This window comes from Homo sapiens, chromosome 12 (assembly GCF_000001405.40).
Source record: "Homo sapiens chromosome 12, GRCh38.p14 Primary Assembly".
NCBI classification, from domain to species: domain Eukaryota; kingdom Metazoa; phylum Chordata; class Mammalia; order Primates; family Hominidae; genus Homo; species Homo sapiens.
The window spans coordinates 48,949,857-48,964,945 of record NC_000012.12 but is presented as its reverse complement, the minus strand read 5'-3'; the positions used below and the strand labels follow the sequence as shown (position 1 = coordinate 48,964,945).

General features: G+C 47.4%; 1 protein-coding gene and 1 non-coding gene across 13 annotated transcripts in view, besides 4 other annotated features; both read left to right on the top strand.

The window, feature by feature from the left end:
• Nucleotides 13-606: an enhancer, noted in NCBI's record as "H3K27ac hESC enhancer chr12:49358123-49358716 (GRCh37/hg19 assembly coordinates)". NCBI's record gives its function as "activates a minimal SCP1, AML or CMV promoter by ChIP-STARR-seq in naive H9 embryonic stem cells {active_cell/tissue: H9 hESC(naive)}" and the evidence as "EXISTENCE:reporter gene assay evidence [ECO:0000049][PMID:30033119]".
• On the top strand, nt 4,110-4,208 carry LOC124903110 (small nucleolar RNA U13). The gene has a single exon (XR_007063646.1). It is a non-coding gene; the product is annotated as a small nucleolar RNA U13 (small nucleolar RNA).
• Nucleotides 4,814-5,023: a silencer, noted in NCBI's record as "fragment chr12:49353706-49353915 (GRCh37/hg19 assembly coordinates)". NCBI's record gives its function as "represses an EF-1alpha promoter that drives an FKBP-Casp9 reporter gene in an ReSE screen in K562 erythroleukemia cells {active_cell/tissue: K562}" and the evidence as "EXISTENCE:reporter gene assay evidence [ECO:0000049][PMID:32094911]".
• ARF3 (ARF GTPase 3) overlaps nt 7,459-15,089 on the top strand; it is a 21,765-nt gene continuing 14,134 nt past the window's right edge. For 2 of the 12 annotated variants that reach the window (NM_001412932.1, NM_001659.3), the window contains exon 1: nt 7,459-7,636. The gene's annotated coding sequence lies outside the window, so the exon portion shown is untranslated. Of the gene's footprint in view, nt 8,849-9,185; nt 9,252-15,089 lie in introns of all 12 variants that reach the window. The other 10 variants (NM_001412928.1, NM_001412926.1, NM_001412918.1 and 7 more) reach the window with 10 other exon arrangements.
• Nucleotides 8,132-8,211: an enhancer, noted in NCBI's record as "active region_6297". NCBI's record gives its function as "activates an Ori minimal core promoter by ATAC-STARR-seq in GM12878 lymphoblastoid cells {active_cell/tissue: GM12878}" and the evidence as "EXISTENCE:reporter gene assay evidence [ECO:0000049][PMID:35858748]".
• Nucleotides 8,267-9,262: an enhancer, noted in NCBI's record as "NANOG-H3K27ac-H3K4me1 hESC enhancer chr12:49349467-49350462 (GRCh37/hg19 assembly coordinates)". NCBI's record gives its function as "activates a minimal SCP1, AML or CMV promoter by ChIP-STARR-seq in naive H9 embryonic stem cells {active_cell/tissue: H9 hESC(naive)}" and the evidence as "EXISTENCE:reporter gene assay evidence [ECO:0000049][PMID:30033119]".

The following is a 15,089-nucleotide window of genomic DNA, read 5'->3' as shown; positions in this document are numbered from 1 at the left end:
TGTTATAGATCAACAGCAGCCATAGACCACACATAAACGAATGAGCGTGGCCGTGTCCAGTAAAACTTCATTCACAGAAATGGGCTGCAAGACCAAATTTGGTCCCCTAGCTGCAGTGTGTTGACCCTCATTCTAGACCACGAGGTTGCCTTTGTTCTGGAGTTTTTCAGTCCTAAATGTATCTCAACACTGAATTTGGACCCAAAAGAACAGGTACTTTTTTCTCTGGTTCCAAAGGAGTGAACTTGGGATATAGATGCAAGACTGATGGGAAACGTATAAAAGAGATTCATATGCTTGAAATGGGAGTTTTTCCCTCTGGAAACTAGCAAAACCAGCATGTTCTCTCATGGAATTATTTGCATGTTTTTTGTCCTTATTTATTTGATTGAGACAGGGTCTCACTTTGTCACCCAGGCTGGAGTACAATGGTGAGATCTTGGCTCATTGCAACCTCCTCCTCCTGGGTTCAAACCATCCTTGTGCCTTAGTCTCCCGAGTAGCTGGGATTACAGGTATGCATTACCATATCTGGCTAAGTTTTGTATTTTTAGTAGAGATGGGTTTTCGCCATGTTGGTTGGCCAGGCTGGTCTCGAACTCCTTGCCTCAAGTGATCCACACGCCTTGGTCTCCCAAAGTGCTGGGATTACAGGCGTGAGCCACTGTGCCTGGCTTATTTATTATTATTATTTTTTGAGACAGGATCTCGCTCTGTTGCCTTGGCTGGAGTGCAGTGACATGATCTTGGCTCACTGCAAACTCCACTTCTTGGGCTCAAGTCTGGGTCCAAGAGTAGCTGGGACTACAGACACATGCCACCACACCTGGCTAATTTTTTTTTGTGTGTGTATTTTTTTGTAGAGATAGGGTTTCACCATGTTGCCCAGGCTGGTCTAGAACTCCTGACCTTAAGCGATATGCCTGTCTAAGCCTCCCATGACCTTCCTCATTTAGAGCTCTTTTGTATGTCATCTTAGTAAAATAATTCCTTTATCTTTTAAGAGATAACATCAACTCAACAGAACAGGATTTATTTTTATTTATTTATTTTTGAGATGGAGTTTCACTCTTGTTGCCCAGGCTGGAGTGCAATGGCGTGATCTTGGCTCACTGCAACCTCCACCTCTCTGATTCAAGCGATTGTCCTGCCTCAGCCTCCCAAGTAGCTGGGACTACAGGTGCGTGCCACCACGCCTGGCTAATTTTTGTATTTTTAGTAGAGATGGGGTTTCACCATGTTGGCCAGGCTGGTCTCAAACTCCTGACCTCAGGTGATCCACCCGCATCAGTCTCCCAAAGTTCTAGGATTACAGGCATGAGCCACTGTGCCTGGCCCTAGCCCAACATCTTTGAAAATAAACTCTTACTGGGCTGGGTGCAGTGGCTCACGCTTGTAATCCCAGCACTTTGGGAGGCCGAGATGGGCAGATCACGAGGTCAGGAGATCAAGACCATCCTGGTTAACATGGTGAAACCCCGTCTCTACTAAAAATACAAAAAAAAATTAGCCAGGCGTGGTGGCGGGCGCCTGCGGTCCCAGCTACTTGGGAGGCTGAGGCAGGAGAATGGCGTGAACCCGGCAGGCGGAGCTTGTAGTGAGCCAAGGTCGTGCCACTGCACTCCAGCCTGGGTGACAGAGTGAGACTCCGTCTCAATAAATACATACATACATACATACGTAAACTGTTTTCTTCCTTTCTTCCTTTCTTTTTCTTTCTTTATTTCCTTTCTTTCTTTCTCTTTCTTTCTTTCTTCCTTTCCTTTCCTTCTTCTTTCTTTTCTTTCTTTTTTTTTTTTTTTTCATACAATGTCTTGCTCTGTCTTCCAGGCTGAGTGCAATGGCTCAATCTTGGCTCAATGCAACTTCTGCCTCCCAGGTTCAAGCGATTCTCCTGCCTCAGCCTCCCAAGTAGCTGGGATTACAGGTGCTGGCCACCACACCCAGCTAATTTTTGTATTTTTTATAGAGATAGGGTTTCGCCATGTTGGCCAGGCTGGTCTTGAACTCCTGACCTCAGGTAATCCATCCGCCTTGGCCTCCCAAAGTGCTGGGATTACAGGCATCAGCCACCAAGCCTGGCCTAAGCTGTTATCTTTCTAAGATTCAATGCAGACAAGGAATATGCATCACACATTTAGAACTTCACAAATGACTGCACACTTATGCAGCTGCCAGATGCTGACTCTAACAGATTATTTCTTTGGCCAGAGAATGTAGAAATAGTTCTCTCCACTTCTCTAGACAATAGACACTTCTGCTACCCTCAAAATCAGATGAAATGAGAGTAGTACCAAGGTAGTGAGGACATTTTGAGGAGTATTAGGTTAGGGCAGTACTTTTTTTTGTTTTTTGAGACAGGGTCTTAGGGTTTCTGTCACCCAGGCTGGAGTGCAGTAGCGTGATCTCGGCTTACTGCAACCTCCACCTCCTGGGCTCAACCGATCGTCCTGCCTCAACCTCTTGAGTAGCTGGGAATACAGGTGTGCACCACCAGGCCCGGATAATTTTTGTATTTTTAGTAGAGATGGGGTTTCGCTATGTCGTCCAGGCTGGTCTTGAACTCCTGGACTCAAGCTATCTGCCCTCCTCTGCCTCCTAAAGTGCTACGGTTACAGGCATGAGCCACTGTGCCTGGCCATAGGACAGTTTTGTTTGTTTGTTTTTTGTCTTATTTTTAAGAGACAGAGTCTTGCTATGCTGCCCAGGCTGGTCTCAAGCTCTTGGACCCAAGCAATTCTCTTGCCTTGGTCTCCCAAAGTATTGGGATTACAGGTGTGAGCCACTGTGTTCAGCCAGTACTTTTTTTTTTTTTTTTTAATTTAGAGTCAGTGTCTTGCTCTGTCACTCAGGCTGGAGTGCAGTGGCAAGATCACTGCAGCCCTGAACTCCTTGACTCAAGTGAACTTCCAGCCCCAGCCTCTCAGAGTGTTGGGATTTACAGGTTTGAGTCACCACACTGGGCTCTAGGGCAGAACTTTGTGGCCAAATTTTATGTCCTGGATTTCCACTTGAGCATTGAGAATTCTGGGTTTGGAAATTTGATGGAGACAGGAGAAATCCCATCCTTACTTCAGGCACTTACTGAACCTAGTGTATGTGGAAGGAAGAGGGGATGCACTTAGAATGGGCATAGGATATAAGAGAATAATGATAAAGAATATTTATAATCAGAACTTCTCACACTCAGGACGAGGAAGGAGAATCTCTAACAGAGTCACAGCATGATTATTTCAGCTTTTTCCTGTTTCCTTCCTCTGTACTTTGGGTCCCTCTTTCCTTTCTAGCGTTCCCTCTTCCTTCATCAGACACACTGTGTGGCAAACTTAAGCCCCAAACCACAACCTTGACAAATTCCAAATGGATTTTGTCAGCAAGGCCAACACACCCCTTCGCCACTCCCTATCCCTGCTCCTAGCACATGCACTGGGGTCAGCGACAGGGTTGGAGTATGCAACCCACAGAGCTGGTGGCTACAATTTCAGCTTTTACTAGGCTCCAATGGCAGCCAGAGGGAGGGAGAAAGGCTGATGAACTGTAAGACGGGCCTCTTGTCCCTCTTCAGCTCCAGATGAGTTCTACTCCTGCTGGCCTTTACCAAGTGGCTGGGAAGTTAGGGAGGGGCAGTGGCCAGCTAATTGCCAGCTGGGCAGCACTCCTCCTATCTCTGCTCCTGTTTGCTCCATGGGCAGCGCACTCTGATGCTGCAACAGACGTTTTCTTCTTCAGACTCCAGACAGGTGAAGGACAGAAGCGCTGGGAGATTCTCTAGTCCCATTAATCAGTCCTGACTGACATACCATGGTACCTGCTGCTTACTACATTAGACTGTCACCATTTCCATCTTTCTATTGCACTGGGGATAAAACCTTGAGAAGATCTGAAGCACTGGGCAGGAATATCAACAGGTTCCACCTCCTTGTCTGAGTTCCACAGGCATGTGCACGTGGTAAGGGCACTAGGGAGGTTTTATAAATCATAGTTTTGGTGGACAGCATGGTGGGATAACCTGGTGGAGTGTTACTAGAAATTTCTAGAGAAATAAATGAAAGAGTAATCACATGGAAATATCAAAAAACCCACTCTAGGAGTAATAATACTGGAGGAAGATCCTTTTGTAGTTCATAAGCATAATGACTGGGTGCTTACACACATGTGAGATGTGCCACCCTCAAACCTTGTTACATTGGCACACTATCCATTTGACATGAACAACAACAACAAAATACTGGAGGTGTCTTTTGTCCTTAAAAACACAGAGCTGGGCTAGGCACGGTGGCTCATGCCTGTAATCCCAACACTTTGGGACGCCTAGATGGGAGGACTGCTTGAGCTCAAGAGTTTGGCCTGGGCAACATGGCAAAACCCTGTCTCTACAAATAGCATAAAAATTAGCTGGGTGACTGGGCATGGTGGCTCACGCCTGTAATCCCAGCACTTTGGGAGGCTGAGGCAGGTGGATCACCTGAGGTCAGGAGTTCAAGACCAGCCTGACCAACACAGTGAAACCCTGTCTCTACTAAAAATATAAAAATTAGCCGGGCGTGGTGGCACATGCCTATAATCCCAGCTACTTGGGAGGCTAAGACAGGAGAGTCACCCGAACACAGGAGGCAGAGGTTGCAGTGAGCGGAGATTGTGCCATTGCACTCCAGCCTGGGCAACAAGAGCGAAACTGTCTCAAAAAAAAAAAAAAAAATTAGCCAGGCATGGTGGCGTGCACCTGTAGTCCCAGCTACTTGGGAGGCTGAGGTGGTAAGGATCACTTGAGCCCAGGAGGTTGAGGCTGCAGTGAGCCGATTGCGCCACTACACTCCAGCCTCAGCAACACAGCAAGACCCAGTTTCTTTTTTTTTCTTTCTTCTTTTTTTTTTTTTTGAGACGGAGTCTTGCTCTATCGCCCCGGCTGGAGTGCAGTGGCGCGATCTCGGCTCACTGCAAGCTCCAACTCCCGGGTTCACGCCATTCTCCTGACTCAGCCTCAGGAGTAGTTGGGACTATAGGCGCCTGCCACCACGCCTGCCTAATTTTTTGTATTTTTAGTAGAGACGGGGTTTCACCGTGTTAGCCAGGATGTTCTCGATCTCCTGACCTCGTGACTCGTGATCCGCCTGCCTCGGCCTCCCAAAGTGCTAGGATTACAGGCTTGAGCCACCGCTCCCGGCCAAGATCCAGTTTCAAAAACAGAAAAAAAAAAAAAAGCAAGAAACAAACAAACAAAACCACCAACAAAAACACACCCGACAGAACTACCCAGCACAGTGGCACATGTCTATAATCCCAGCTATTCATGAGGCTGAGACAGGAGGATCACTTGAACCCAGGAATTCAAGACTGAAGTGTGCTATGATCGCTCCTGTGAATAGCCACTGCACTCCAGCCTGGGCAACATAGTGAGACCCCGTATCTTAAAAAAACACAGAGATGTGGCTCACGCCTGTAATCCCAGCACTTTGGGAGGCTGAGGCAGGCAGATCACGAGGTCAGGAGATTGAGATCATCCTGGCTAACACAGTGAAACCCTGTCTCTACTAAAAAAACAAAAAATTGGCCGGGCATGGTGGCACACACCTGTAGTCCCAGCTACTCGCGAGGCTGAGGCAGGAGAATCGCTTGAACCTGGGAGGCGGAGGTTGCAGTGAGCTGAGATTGCACCACTGCACTCCAGCCTGGGTGACAGAGCGAGACTCCATCTCAAAAACAAACAAACAAACAAACAAACAAACACACACACAAAAACAAAAACAACCCACAGAGATTAGCAGGGCAGCAGCCCTTAATAGCAGTGCCCAGGACAGATATAATTCCTTGTTATAAACAGGTTCCTTGTCATCCATCTCATCCCTTACCATCTTAAATTAAGGTCCCCTTAGCTTGACATTCTAGGGTCATGTTATCAGGTTAACATAAGAGAGAGAACAGACTGGGTTAAGGGACTGTAAGTGCATACACCAGGGATTGATGAGGACAAGGAGATCGACATATATGGCACCTACCAGCTTTTTTTTTTTTTTTCTTTGAGACAAAGTCTTACTCTGTCGCCCAGGCTGGAGTGCAGTGGTACGATCTTGGCTCACTGCAACTTCCGCCTCCCAGGTTCAAGCGATTCTCTGGCCTCAGTTCAAGTAGCTGGGATTACAGGTATGTGCCACCATGCCCGGCTAATTTTTGTATTTTCTGGTAGAGACAGGGTTTCACCATATTGGCCAGGATGGTCTCAAACTCCTGACCTTAAGTGATCTGCCCACTTCAGCCTGCCAAAGTGCTGGGATTACAAGTGTGAACACAGGGCCTGGCCCCAGCTTAGTTCTTCTTGGAAGCAAGGAAACAAACAAACAAAATCAACCAAGGCAATAAATTCATAAGAGCAACAATTTGGGCTCAAGCCTTAGGGAAGAGCCATGTGTTCATTCCCTTATACTGCTGTAAATGAGGAGAGAGGGCACTTAGAGAACCTTCTATTGGCCGGGCGCGGTGGCTCACGCCTGTAATCCCAGCTACTCAGGAGGCTGAGGCAGGAGAATCGCTTGAACCCGGGAGGCAGAGGTTGCAGTGAGCCAAGATGGTGCCATTGCACTCCAGCCTGGGCGACAGAGTGAGACTCTTGTCTCAAAAAAAAAAAAAAAAAAAGGAACCTTCTGTTCTTAGCATTACTAGTGCCCTTCTATCACAGCTATTTTTGTTTCAAGGCAGTTCTGCATGTCTAGACCAGGTGCAAAACGGAGTGTGAGGGAAGTAGGAGTGGGTAGGAAGCAAGAAATATGGGTGCAAAGTCCTTCACCTTTCCTTGGGATACTAAAATCCCTACTCATCTAGGCACACTTCCTCAAACCACACTTCTGAATATTAGGTTTCCACTCTCCGTCTTTCAAGTTCCAACTTAACTGGCTCAGAGTCCAGCTGTTTTCCTTTAGCCTCTTAAGTTCATCACTCTCCTTCCTCTTCCTTATGGGAAAGGATCTCTTGATTCAGACCCCACAGTAATCTAGTCTCAGGAATAGTGAGCAACAACAATGGTGCGGTGAGGGCTTTCAGGGGATGGCAGCTAGCCCAGATTAAGAAATAAAGATGAAGTCTGGCTGGGTAAGGCATGCCACAGCAACGACTGTTCACCCATATCCCGATGCTGGCTTTGCCCAAGGAGCCCCTGGGCCCCGCAGCCCAGCCCGTCTCCTACGCAGCCAACTTGCCGCCTCAGTCCTTAAATTCCAGGCACAACCCTGGAGCTTGGGATTGTCACCTCAGTCCTCACTGTCTCATCCCCATTCACGGCTCCCGCCTCCGCCGCCCACAGCCCCCACACCTGCCCCCGCCCTGACTCCAGCTCCAGCGCCCGGCCGCCGGTGCTGCAGCCGCTGCCATGGTGATGGGTCTCGCGAGAACTGCCGCTAGCTACCGCGCAGCTATCGCGCGATCGGGGAGGTGGGAAGTATCCCGGGCTGGGGGTGGGGGTACGCCGCACAGCTCCAGTCGCCGTCGCGGCTTCCGGTGCTAGGTGGAGGGAAGGAAGGAGGGAGCCGGGGAGTGGGCCAGGGCAGCAGCCGGGCTGAAGTCGGCTTGGGGAGCCAGAGGGAGCGGAGCGGAACCTGCGGGGCAGAGGCGGCGGCCGCAGCGGCGCAGCTGATAGCAGGAACAGGTGAGAGGCTGGGAAGGGAAGGCGGGTCCCGGTAGAGAAGAGGCTCGGTCAGGGTGAGGGCTGAGGAGATAGAGCGCCTCCCGGGCCCCGCCCGGCACTGCTTGGCGTGGGGCGGTGGGATTCTTCCCACCCGAGAGCTCAGAGAGGGTGCGTCGGGCCAGCTTCACGCCTGCCCCCGCATTTGAAGGACGCAGAGCTGGGGTGGGGGTGGGGGGCGCACACGGATTTGTCCTCCGCCTCGCTCAAGGGGGCGACCTGGGCTGCAGTTAGGTTGTCGCCTGCAGGAGGTGTGCTGTTGAGGGAGAGGAAAACCGTCCGAGGAGAGGTGATGAGGGGGCGGTGATGGCTGTTTGTATCTTTTCTGTTAAAGGGCTAGGGAATGCTGCTTTCTTCTACTCCCTCTCCCTCCCCCACCTTAGCAATAGGAGACGGGAGAGAAGCCTTGCTGTGGTTACACCCCCTCCCCCATCATAGGGCAGGGGTGCGTAGGGGGGTTGGGGGTTAGCCAACAGGGCAGGCTGCTGGGGCACCACATGGGCGCTATTGTGGTAGAGGTTGCGCTTTCGAGTCTAGGGAACCGCAGGTTGGGAAGAGGGCAGCAAGTGGGGAGAGGGTGGAGAGGAGGCAGGAGAAGGAGGAGGGGGATCTGATCTTCCTGGGAGAAGAGAGGTGGGGCCTTCCTCCCCAGGCGGAGCGGGGGCGGTCTCACAGGAGGAGGGAGCATCTTGTCACTGGCCCTCAGTTTGTGTCTTCCAATCCGCTTTCTTTCTTTAGGAAGTACCAGGATTCCCGGAACAGAAAATGGAGCCATTGCTTACGCGAATCGTTTGAGGGAAGGGGCGGGAGTTGGGGAGGTGGAGTTCCCTGTTAAAACGGGCCACTTGATTAGCAAAGTGGTAGCTGTTATTTTGGGGGAATTCCCGTCTTGATTGCATTAAGGCGGGTCTCCATCTTTCCAGGCCAGGAGGAATGTGGTGGTGGAGGTGGAGGATTGTGGTATGTGGTCAGGAGTGAGAAGAAATAGTAAGGCCGTCCCGGTGAGGGAGAAATGTAACCTAAAACCTGTCTCTGCTGTTGTTGGATTGGGTCACCCCTGGTCTATGGCATGAAAGTTTTATTGGGAGGAGATCTGCTGCAAGAGTCTGATTGCTTGGGTCAGTGCAACAGGACAGAATCTAGTCGCTGCATACCTCCTTCCCTGTCCTCAATCAGGTAGGTAGTAACAGTCTTTGCTGCTATTTTGTCTTGGGCTTGTTGTTGGGGTAGGTGTTTCCACTTGCCGTGACTTGGGACATGGGACAGTGTTATGGGACAGTGGATTATCATAGCCCATTGGACTTGAGTTTGAAAAACATGTCTGTAAAAGTTCATTCTAAGAAAGAAACTAATCCATTAAGGTTCAGCTTTTCACCGAATGAATGATTGACCTTGGATTCAGCCAGGAAAGGCTCCCATGTATCACATATTCACATGCGTCCTGTTTCCCAGCATAGAATTATTACCTTGCATAGTTAGAATTTTTATAGTTGTCTATCTTGCTTTTCCAAAGAGACTAGACGCTTTTCGACTGCAGGAACTGGATTTCGTCTCCTCTTCCACAATGCCCATGCAAACAGTAGGTACCCATGATGAATTTAGAATGTAAATAGATAGAACTCAACAAGCTTTCTAACTGTAGTTTAAGGAAAGGGCAAGAGATGGCTTGGCTGTCAGCAGAAGTGCCTGGAAATAGCTTAGCAAGGGTACAAAGACCCTTAGCCTTTGTAATTAAGAAGTTTTTGTGTCTCTGCCTTCCTAAGAGGCACAGAATAGGCATAGATAATGGAAACTTAAGACCCAAAAAGAAAAATATTACTAGAACACAGAGTCATTATCTGCAGTCCCAGATTTCCTGCTTCCCCATTGTGGGCAAAGGGGTCTCTCCATCAGACCTAAGTCTTTCAAAGTGTTATATATGAATTGGGATCCTGGAGAGTTTGGAGGAGGGACCAATATATGTATATGTGTGGTGTCAGGTACAGAATTGGTACCAGTGAATGGTAGCTGCTATTATTATACTGAATGCAAGTATAAAGGAGAGCAGACTGGAAAGAGTGGAAGTGAGTGAAATACTAAGTGCACAAAGAGTCATATTGTAGTGTGTGTTCACCCTACTCTTTTACACTAGAGTCATAATAAGAGGAAGTGGACTCAGGATAGAGGGTGGGATTTATTGGTTAGAAGGAGGAACTTCTTTAAAACCAGGTTGGTTAAAGTTGAGTATGTAACTGAAGGAAATTGTAGAATCTGCTTCCCTATATACCTTTATTTTTATCCACCCAGGCTGGAGGGCAGTGGTGTGATCATAACTCACTGCAGCCTCGAGCTGGCCTCAAGCCATCCTGTACTTCAGCTTCTCAAGTAGCTGGGACCACATGCGTGTGCCACCATGCCCAGCGAATTTTTTTTTTTACTTTTTGTAGAGATCTCACTGTGTTGCTAGGGCTGGTCTCAAACTCCTGGCTCCAATATATCCTCCCACCTTGGCCTCCCAAAGTGCTGAGATTACAGGCATGAACCACCATGCCTGAACTCTCCTCACCATTTTTGTTGAGGTAAATTTAGAGGCAGAATGGTATAGTAATTAAGAGTGGATCTTGGAATCAGACAAAATTAGATTCAAATCCTGCTTCTGCTAATTACCAGTTGCATGTTTCTTGTAAAATTGCTTGTCTTCTCTCTTTATTTTCTTCATCTGTAAAGAAGGTAATGACATATGGTTTTCAAGAGAATTATTATTTTTTTGGTTGTCAGTAGAATTAAATGAGATAAATGTAAAGCACCTGGTATTGTACAAAGCATATAGTAAGTACCAAATAACTGTTAGCTGCTATTAATAATCCATTATCATAATCCTAATAATATGAACACTCAGGGCTGCCTTAGAGGAAAAGAGGTTTACAGAAGAACAACTTGCTGCCTGAGGTGCTTGTGTAGAGGGATGATTGTTACCATGAGTTTCTGTGCTGGTCGTAGGCTTATGAGCAGCGAAATCTTTTTTCAGCTTCAGCATCAGCATCGCAGAGACAGCTCCTGCTGCCTGAGTGGGAGGTGAAGCTGGAGCAAGGCAGGGGCCCTGAACCATCAATTTGGATGTAGGGTGAAGATATGGGGGCACAAGAATAGTATTCATATTAGAAAAGTCAGTGTGACTCTGAGATAATGGTTCACTCTTCCAGAAAAGAGCACCCTGATGACCTAGGTCAGGGATTTAGATTCCTAGATGCCCTTATTTTAGGTCTCAGTCAGTATATGGGGATCTTCATTTAGTCCACTCTTTTCATTTAGTCCAATCTTAATAAAAAATGTCTGCTTTTGAGTATCTGTTTCAGAATATCATGGCCTAGAAATTGTGATATCTGTAGAATTATCTGTCTACCGTACCTTCTTCACTTGAACATCTGTTGCAAATATAGATAGAGTGCTAATAAAACTATTTGATAATGAAAAGACATGAGGAGCGTTTGGAAAGGGTCCCACAGATGTTTGAAGGTTTCATATTATAGTCTGGTAAAGAACTGACTAAAGTAGGGATTTCATGAATGTGTTAGAGCTTTACCATGGACTTATGCAAAGGATCTGCCACACCATGTGGACCAGAAAGGAAATGGCTCAGAATGTTAGAGATCCACCATTATTACCATATTCCTGAAGAAAGTTGAGATGACTGGGTGTGGCAGGTCTCTTGGTACCTTTTAGTTCTCCCATTACTGCTGAAAGCCTGGCATAATCCTTCCTTTATTAGCTTATGCACAGGAGTGTCAAGCGTGAATGCTTAAACTTCAGCATGAGCTTAAGATGTAGGAGAGCATTTGCTCTCTGTTGCAATGGTTTATGTCCTTTTTTTAAAAAAAAAATAGTCAAACCTTAAATAAAATTTTATTTGAATTCTAATACATAAAATGGACAAAAGTGGAGTTACTCTCTACTGGTGGTGGAAAATGGGGGTGGGGTATAATTACAGCCCCTCACATGATCTCTCCTCTCTTCAAGCAGAACCTGTGGGCTCTGAGGACATGGAAACCATTTCTTCAGTTTGTCAGATACAGGGAAAAGGATCAGAGACCACCTATAGAATACAGTCTTCTTCAACCCCACAAGTGTTTTGCCACCCTCAGTAGAACCGTTCTCAACACGCCTGTCAGTCACTAGCTATAGGTCAGTCATTGGTGCTGGATGCTGGAGACGTGAAATATGAATAAGGCATAGTCTGTGCTGGCAAAGAGCTCACAGTCTAGTGAGGTACTTTCCAGCCTTTTTCTCATCATGGTATACACAAAAAATGGTAATAGTGAGACTTGAAATCTGAGATGGCTGGCCCAAGGGCTGTAGCCACCCCAAGCCCTGCCCAGCCATCCAGTGGCTGATAGGATCAGTATCTCCAGCTGACCTGTAATGCACTAGAGGCACATTGGGCAGTTGCAGCTCTGGAAAGCAAAACAGACAAACGTGAATACTGCAGCAAGTCCTAGAGTAGAAGTGTGTTTGGGATGCCGAGGGATCGCAGGTAACTCTTATTCCCTAAGTAGGCAGTTCTCTGTTCCTCTGTGTCCTTAGGCTGCTCTGTATAATGGTTGGCCTTGTCCACATCATGTCTTCCTGTTTAAGCAGTTTACTGTCAGCTCCATCTTGACTTGCACAATGGGACCAGATTAGGGGCAGAAGATTATTAGGAGTCTAGGCTATTGATGGACTTTCAGTGATTTTGTGATTAGGAATTTATAGTGTTCTGGATATCCAAGACTGTAGAGGTGGGCATTGGATTGGTACAGCCATAGAATATCAGGAGCTGTAGTGGTTGTAAGCTGGTCAGATTCTAAGAACAAGGCAAGCTGTAATTTTTGGGCAGAGGGCAGTACCACAGAATGTTCCAAAGAAACAAATGAGTCTAGTTTTTATCTTGTCACTGTTTTATCTGACTAGGATTCTAAAACAGACCTTGTCATCTTTTCTGACTCACTTGCTAAGGGTTGTCTGTGGTAAAAGCCAGACCCTTCCCAGGCGTTTTGGGTCTCCATCAGACAGGGCGGTTCGGGATCCTTCTTCACTTCACAGCTGTGGCGTCCTTCAGGTTTGCGTGTCCTGGAGTCTTTTCCAGGATTGTTCTTTGCCTAGATGGGAAGCTGGCATAACAATTCTGGCCTGAGCCTAAACACCACTAATTGAGCTAATAGGAACTTATTTAGTTAGGTACGTTTTAGTTTACACCAAAACTCTAGCTTTGGATCCTCCCTCTTTTCTTTTGTATGTTCTATCCCCATTGGTGTCTATGATGTCTTGCTCTCTTGATTTCCCTTCTGCCTCTCTGGTTGCTTCTTATTCTTTCCTGGCCTGCTTTTCTGCCCGCTATTTTATTTATTTATTTATTTATTTTAATTAGTTTTTTTTTTTGAGACGGAGTTTCGCTCTTGTTGCCCAGCCTGGAGTGCAATGGCACGATCTTGGCTCACAGCAGCCTCCACCTCGCAGGTTCAAACCATTCTCCTGCCTCAGCTTATGGAGTAGCTGGGATTACAGGCGTGCGCCACCACGCCTGGCTAATTTAGTACTTTTAGTAGAGACAGGGTTTCTCCATGTTGGTTAGGCTGGTCTCGAACTCCCGATCTCAGGTGACCCGCCCGCCTTGGCCTTCCAATGTGCTGGGATTATAGGCATGAGCCACCGCGCCCGGCCTATTTATTATTTATTTATTTATTTATTTATTTTTGTGATGGAGTTGCGTTCTTGTCACCGAGGCTGGAGTGCAATGGTGCAATCTCAGCTCGCTGCAACCTTCGTCCACCACCTGGCTTCAAGCAGTCCTCCAGTCTTGCCTCCTGAGTAGCCGGGATTACAGGAATGCCCCACCATGCCCAGCTAATTTTGTATTTTTAGTAGAGATGGGGTCTCACCATGTTGGCCAGGCTGGTCTCAAACCCCTGACCTCAGGTGATCCGCCCACCTTGGCCTCCCAAAGTGCTGGGATTATAGCTATGAGCCACCGCGCCTGGCTCCCACTACTTTAAATGTTGAAATGTCAGGCAGGTTTCTGCCTTTGCCCTTTTCTTCTATCCCACTGTGTACACTATCCCTAGATATATCAGTTAGGATGTATTAGTTGCAAAAATAGAAAACACACGTGTCTAAAACGCTGAGAGGATTTATTAAATCATATAGCAAGACATCTAGTAGAAAGGCAGACATAGGCCGGGTGCAGTGGCTCACGCCTGTAATCCCAGCACTTTGAGAGGCTGAGGCAGGTGGATCACTTGAGGTCAGGAGTTCGAGACCAGCCTGACCAACATGGTGAGACCCTGTCTCTACTAAATACAAAAAATTAGCCGGGCGTGGTGGCAGGTGCCTGTAATCGCCCAGCTACTTGAGAGGCTGAGGCAGGAGAATCGGTTGAACCCAGGAGATGGAGGTTGCAGTGAGCCGAGATTGCGCCATTGCACTCTAGCCTGGGCAACAAGAGCAAAAACTCCGTCTCAAAAAAAAAACAAAAAGGCAGACACAGAAGAACACATATTGTACAATTTTACTTCTATGAAGTACCTAGAGTAACAGATTCATAGAGACAGGAGAATGGTGGTTGCCAGGGGCTGGAGGGACAGGGGGATTGGGGATCCTCTGTTTAACAGGTACAGTTTCAGTTTGGGAAGATTAAAAAGTTGAGGTGATGAATAGTTGTGATAGTTACACTACAGTGTGAATGTACTTAACGCTACTGAATTGTATACTTAAAAAAATGGTTAGAATGGTAAATTTTGTGTATATTTTACTATGATTTAAAAAAAAAGAAGCCAGTCGGGTACAGTGGCTCATGCCTGTAATCCCAGAACTTTGGGAAGCCGAGGTGGGCGGATCACTTGAGCCCAGGAGTTTGAGACTAGCCTGGGCAACATGGCGAAACTTCAGTTAAACAAAAATTAGCCAGGCGTGGTGGTGCATGCCTGTAGTCCCAGCTACTCCAGAGGCTGAAGTGGGAGGATTGCTCGAGCCTGGGAGGTGGAGGCTGCAGTGAGCCACTATCACGCCACTGCACTCCAGCTTGGGTGACAGAGCAAGACCCATCTCAGAAAACGAAAGATGCCAGGCGTGGTGGTGCATGCCTATAGTCCCAGTTACTCAGGATTGCGTGAGCCCAAGAATTTGAGGCTGTAGCGCACCATGAGGGCACCTGTGAATAGCCATTGTATTTCATCGTGGGCAACATAGTGGGACCCCATCTCTAAAAAAGAAAAAGTTTAGTTTACCAGCTTGATACTGTAATTAAGGACCCAACTGAGTTTTTCCCATTTTTCTGCTCTGACATCCTGGAGTTTTTAATGTCTGTCTCCCTCTCTTTATGGTCTCCAGATTATTCTAGCTTCTCATCCTTCTACATCATCAACATCCAAAGGCTGGACAAGAGAACATTGCCATAGGTCCTTTT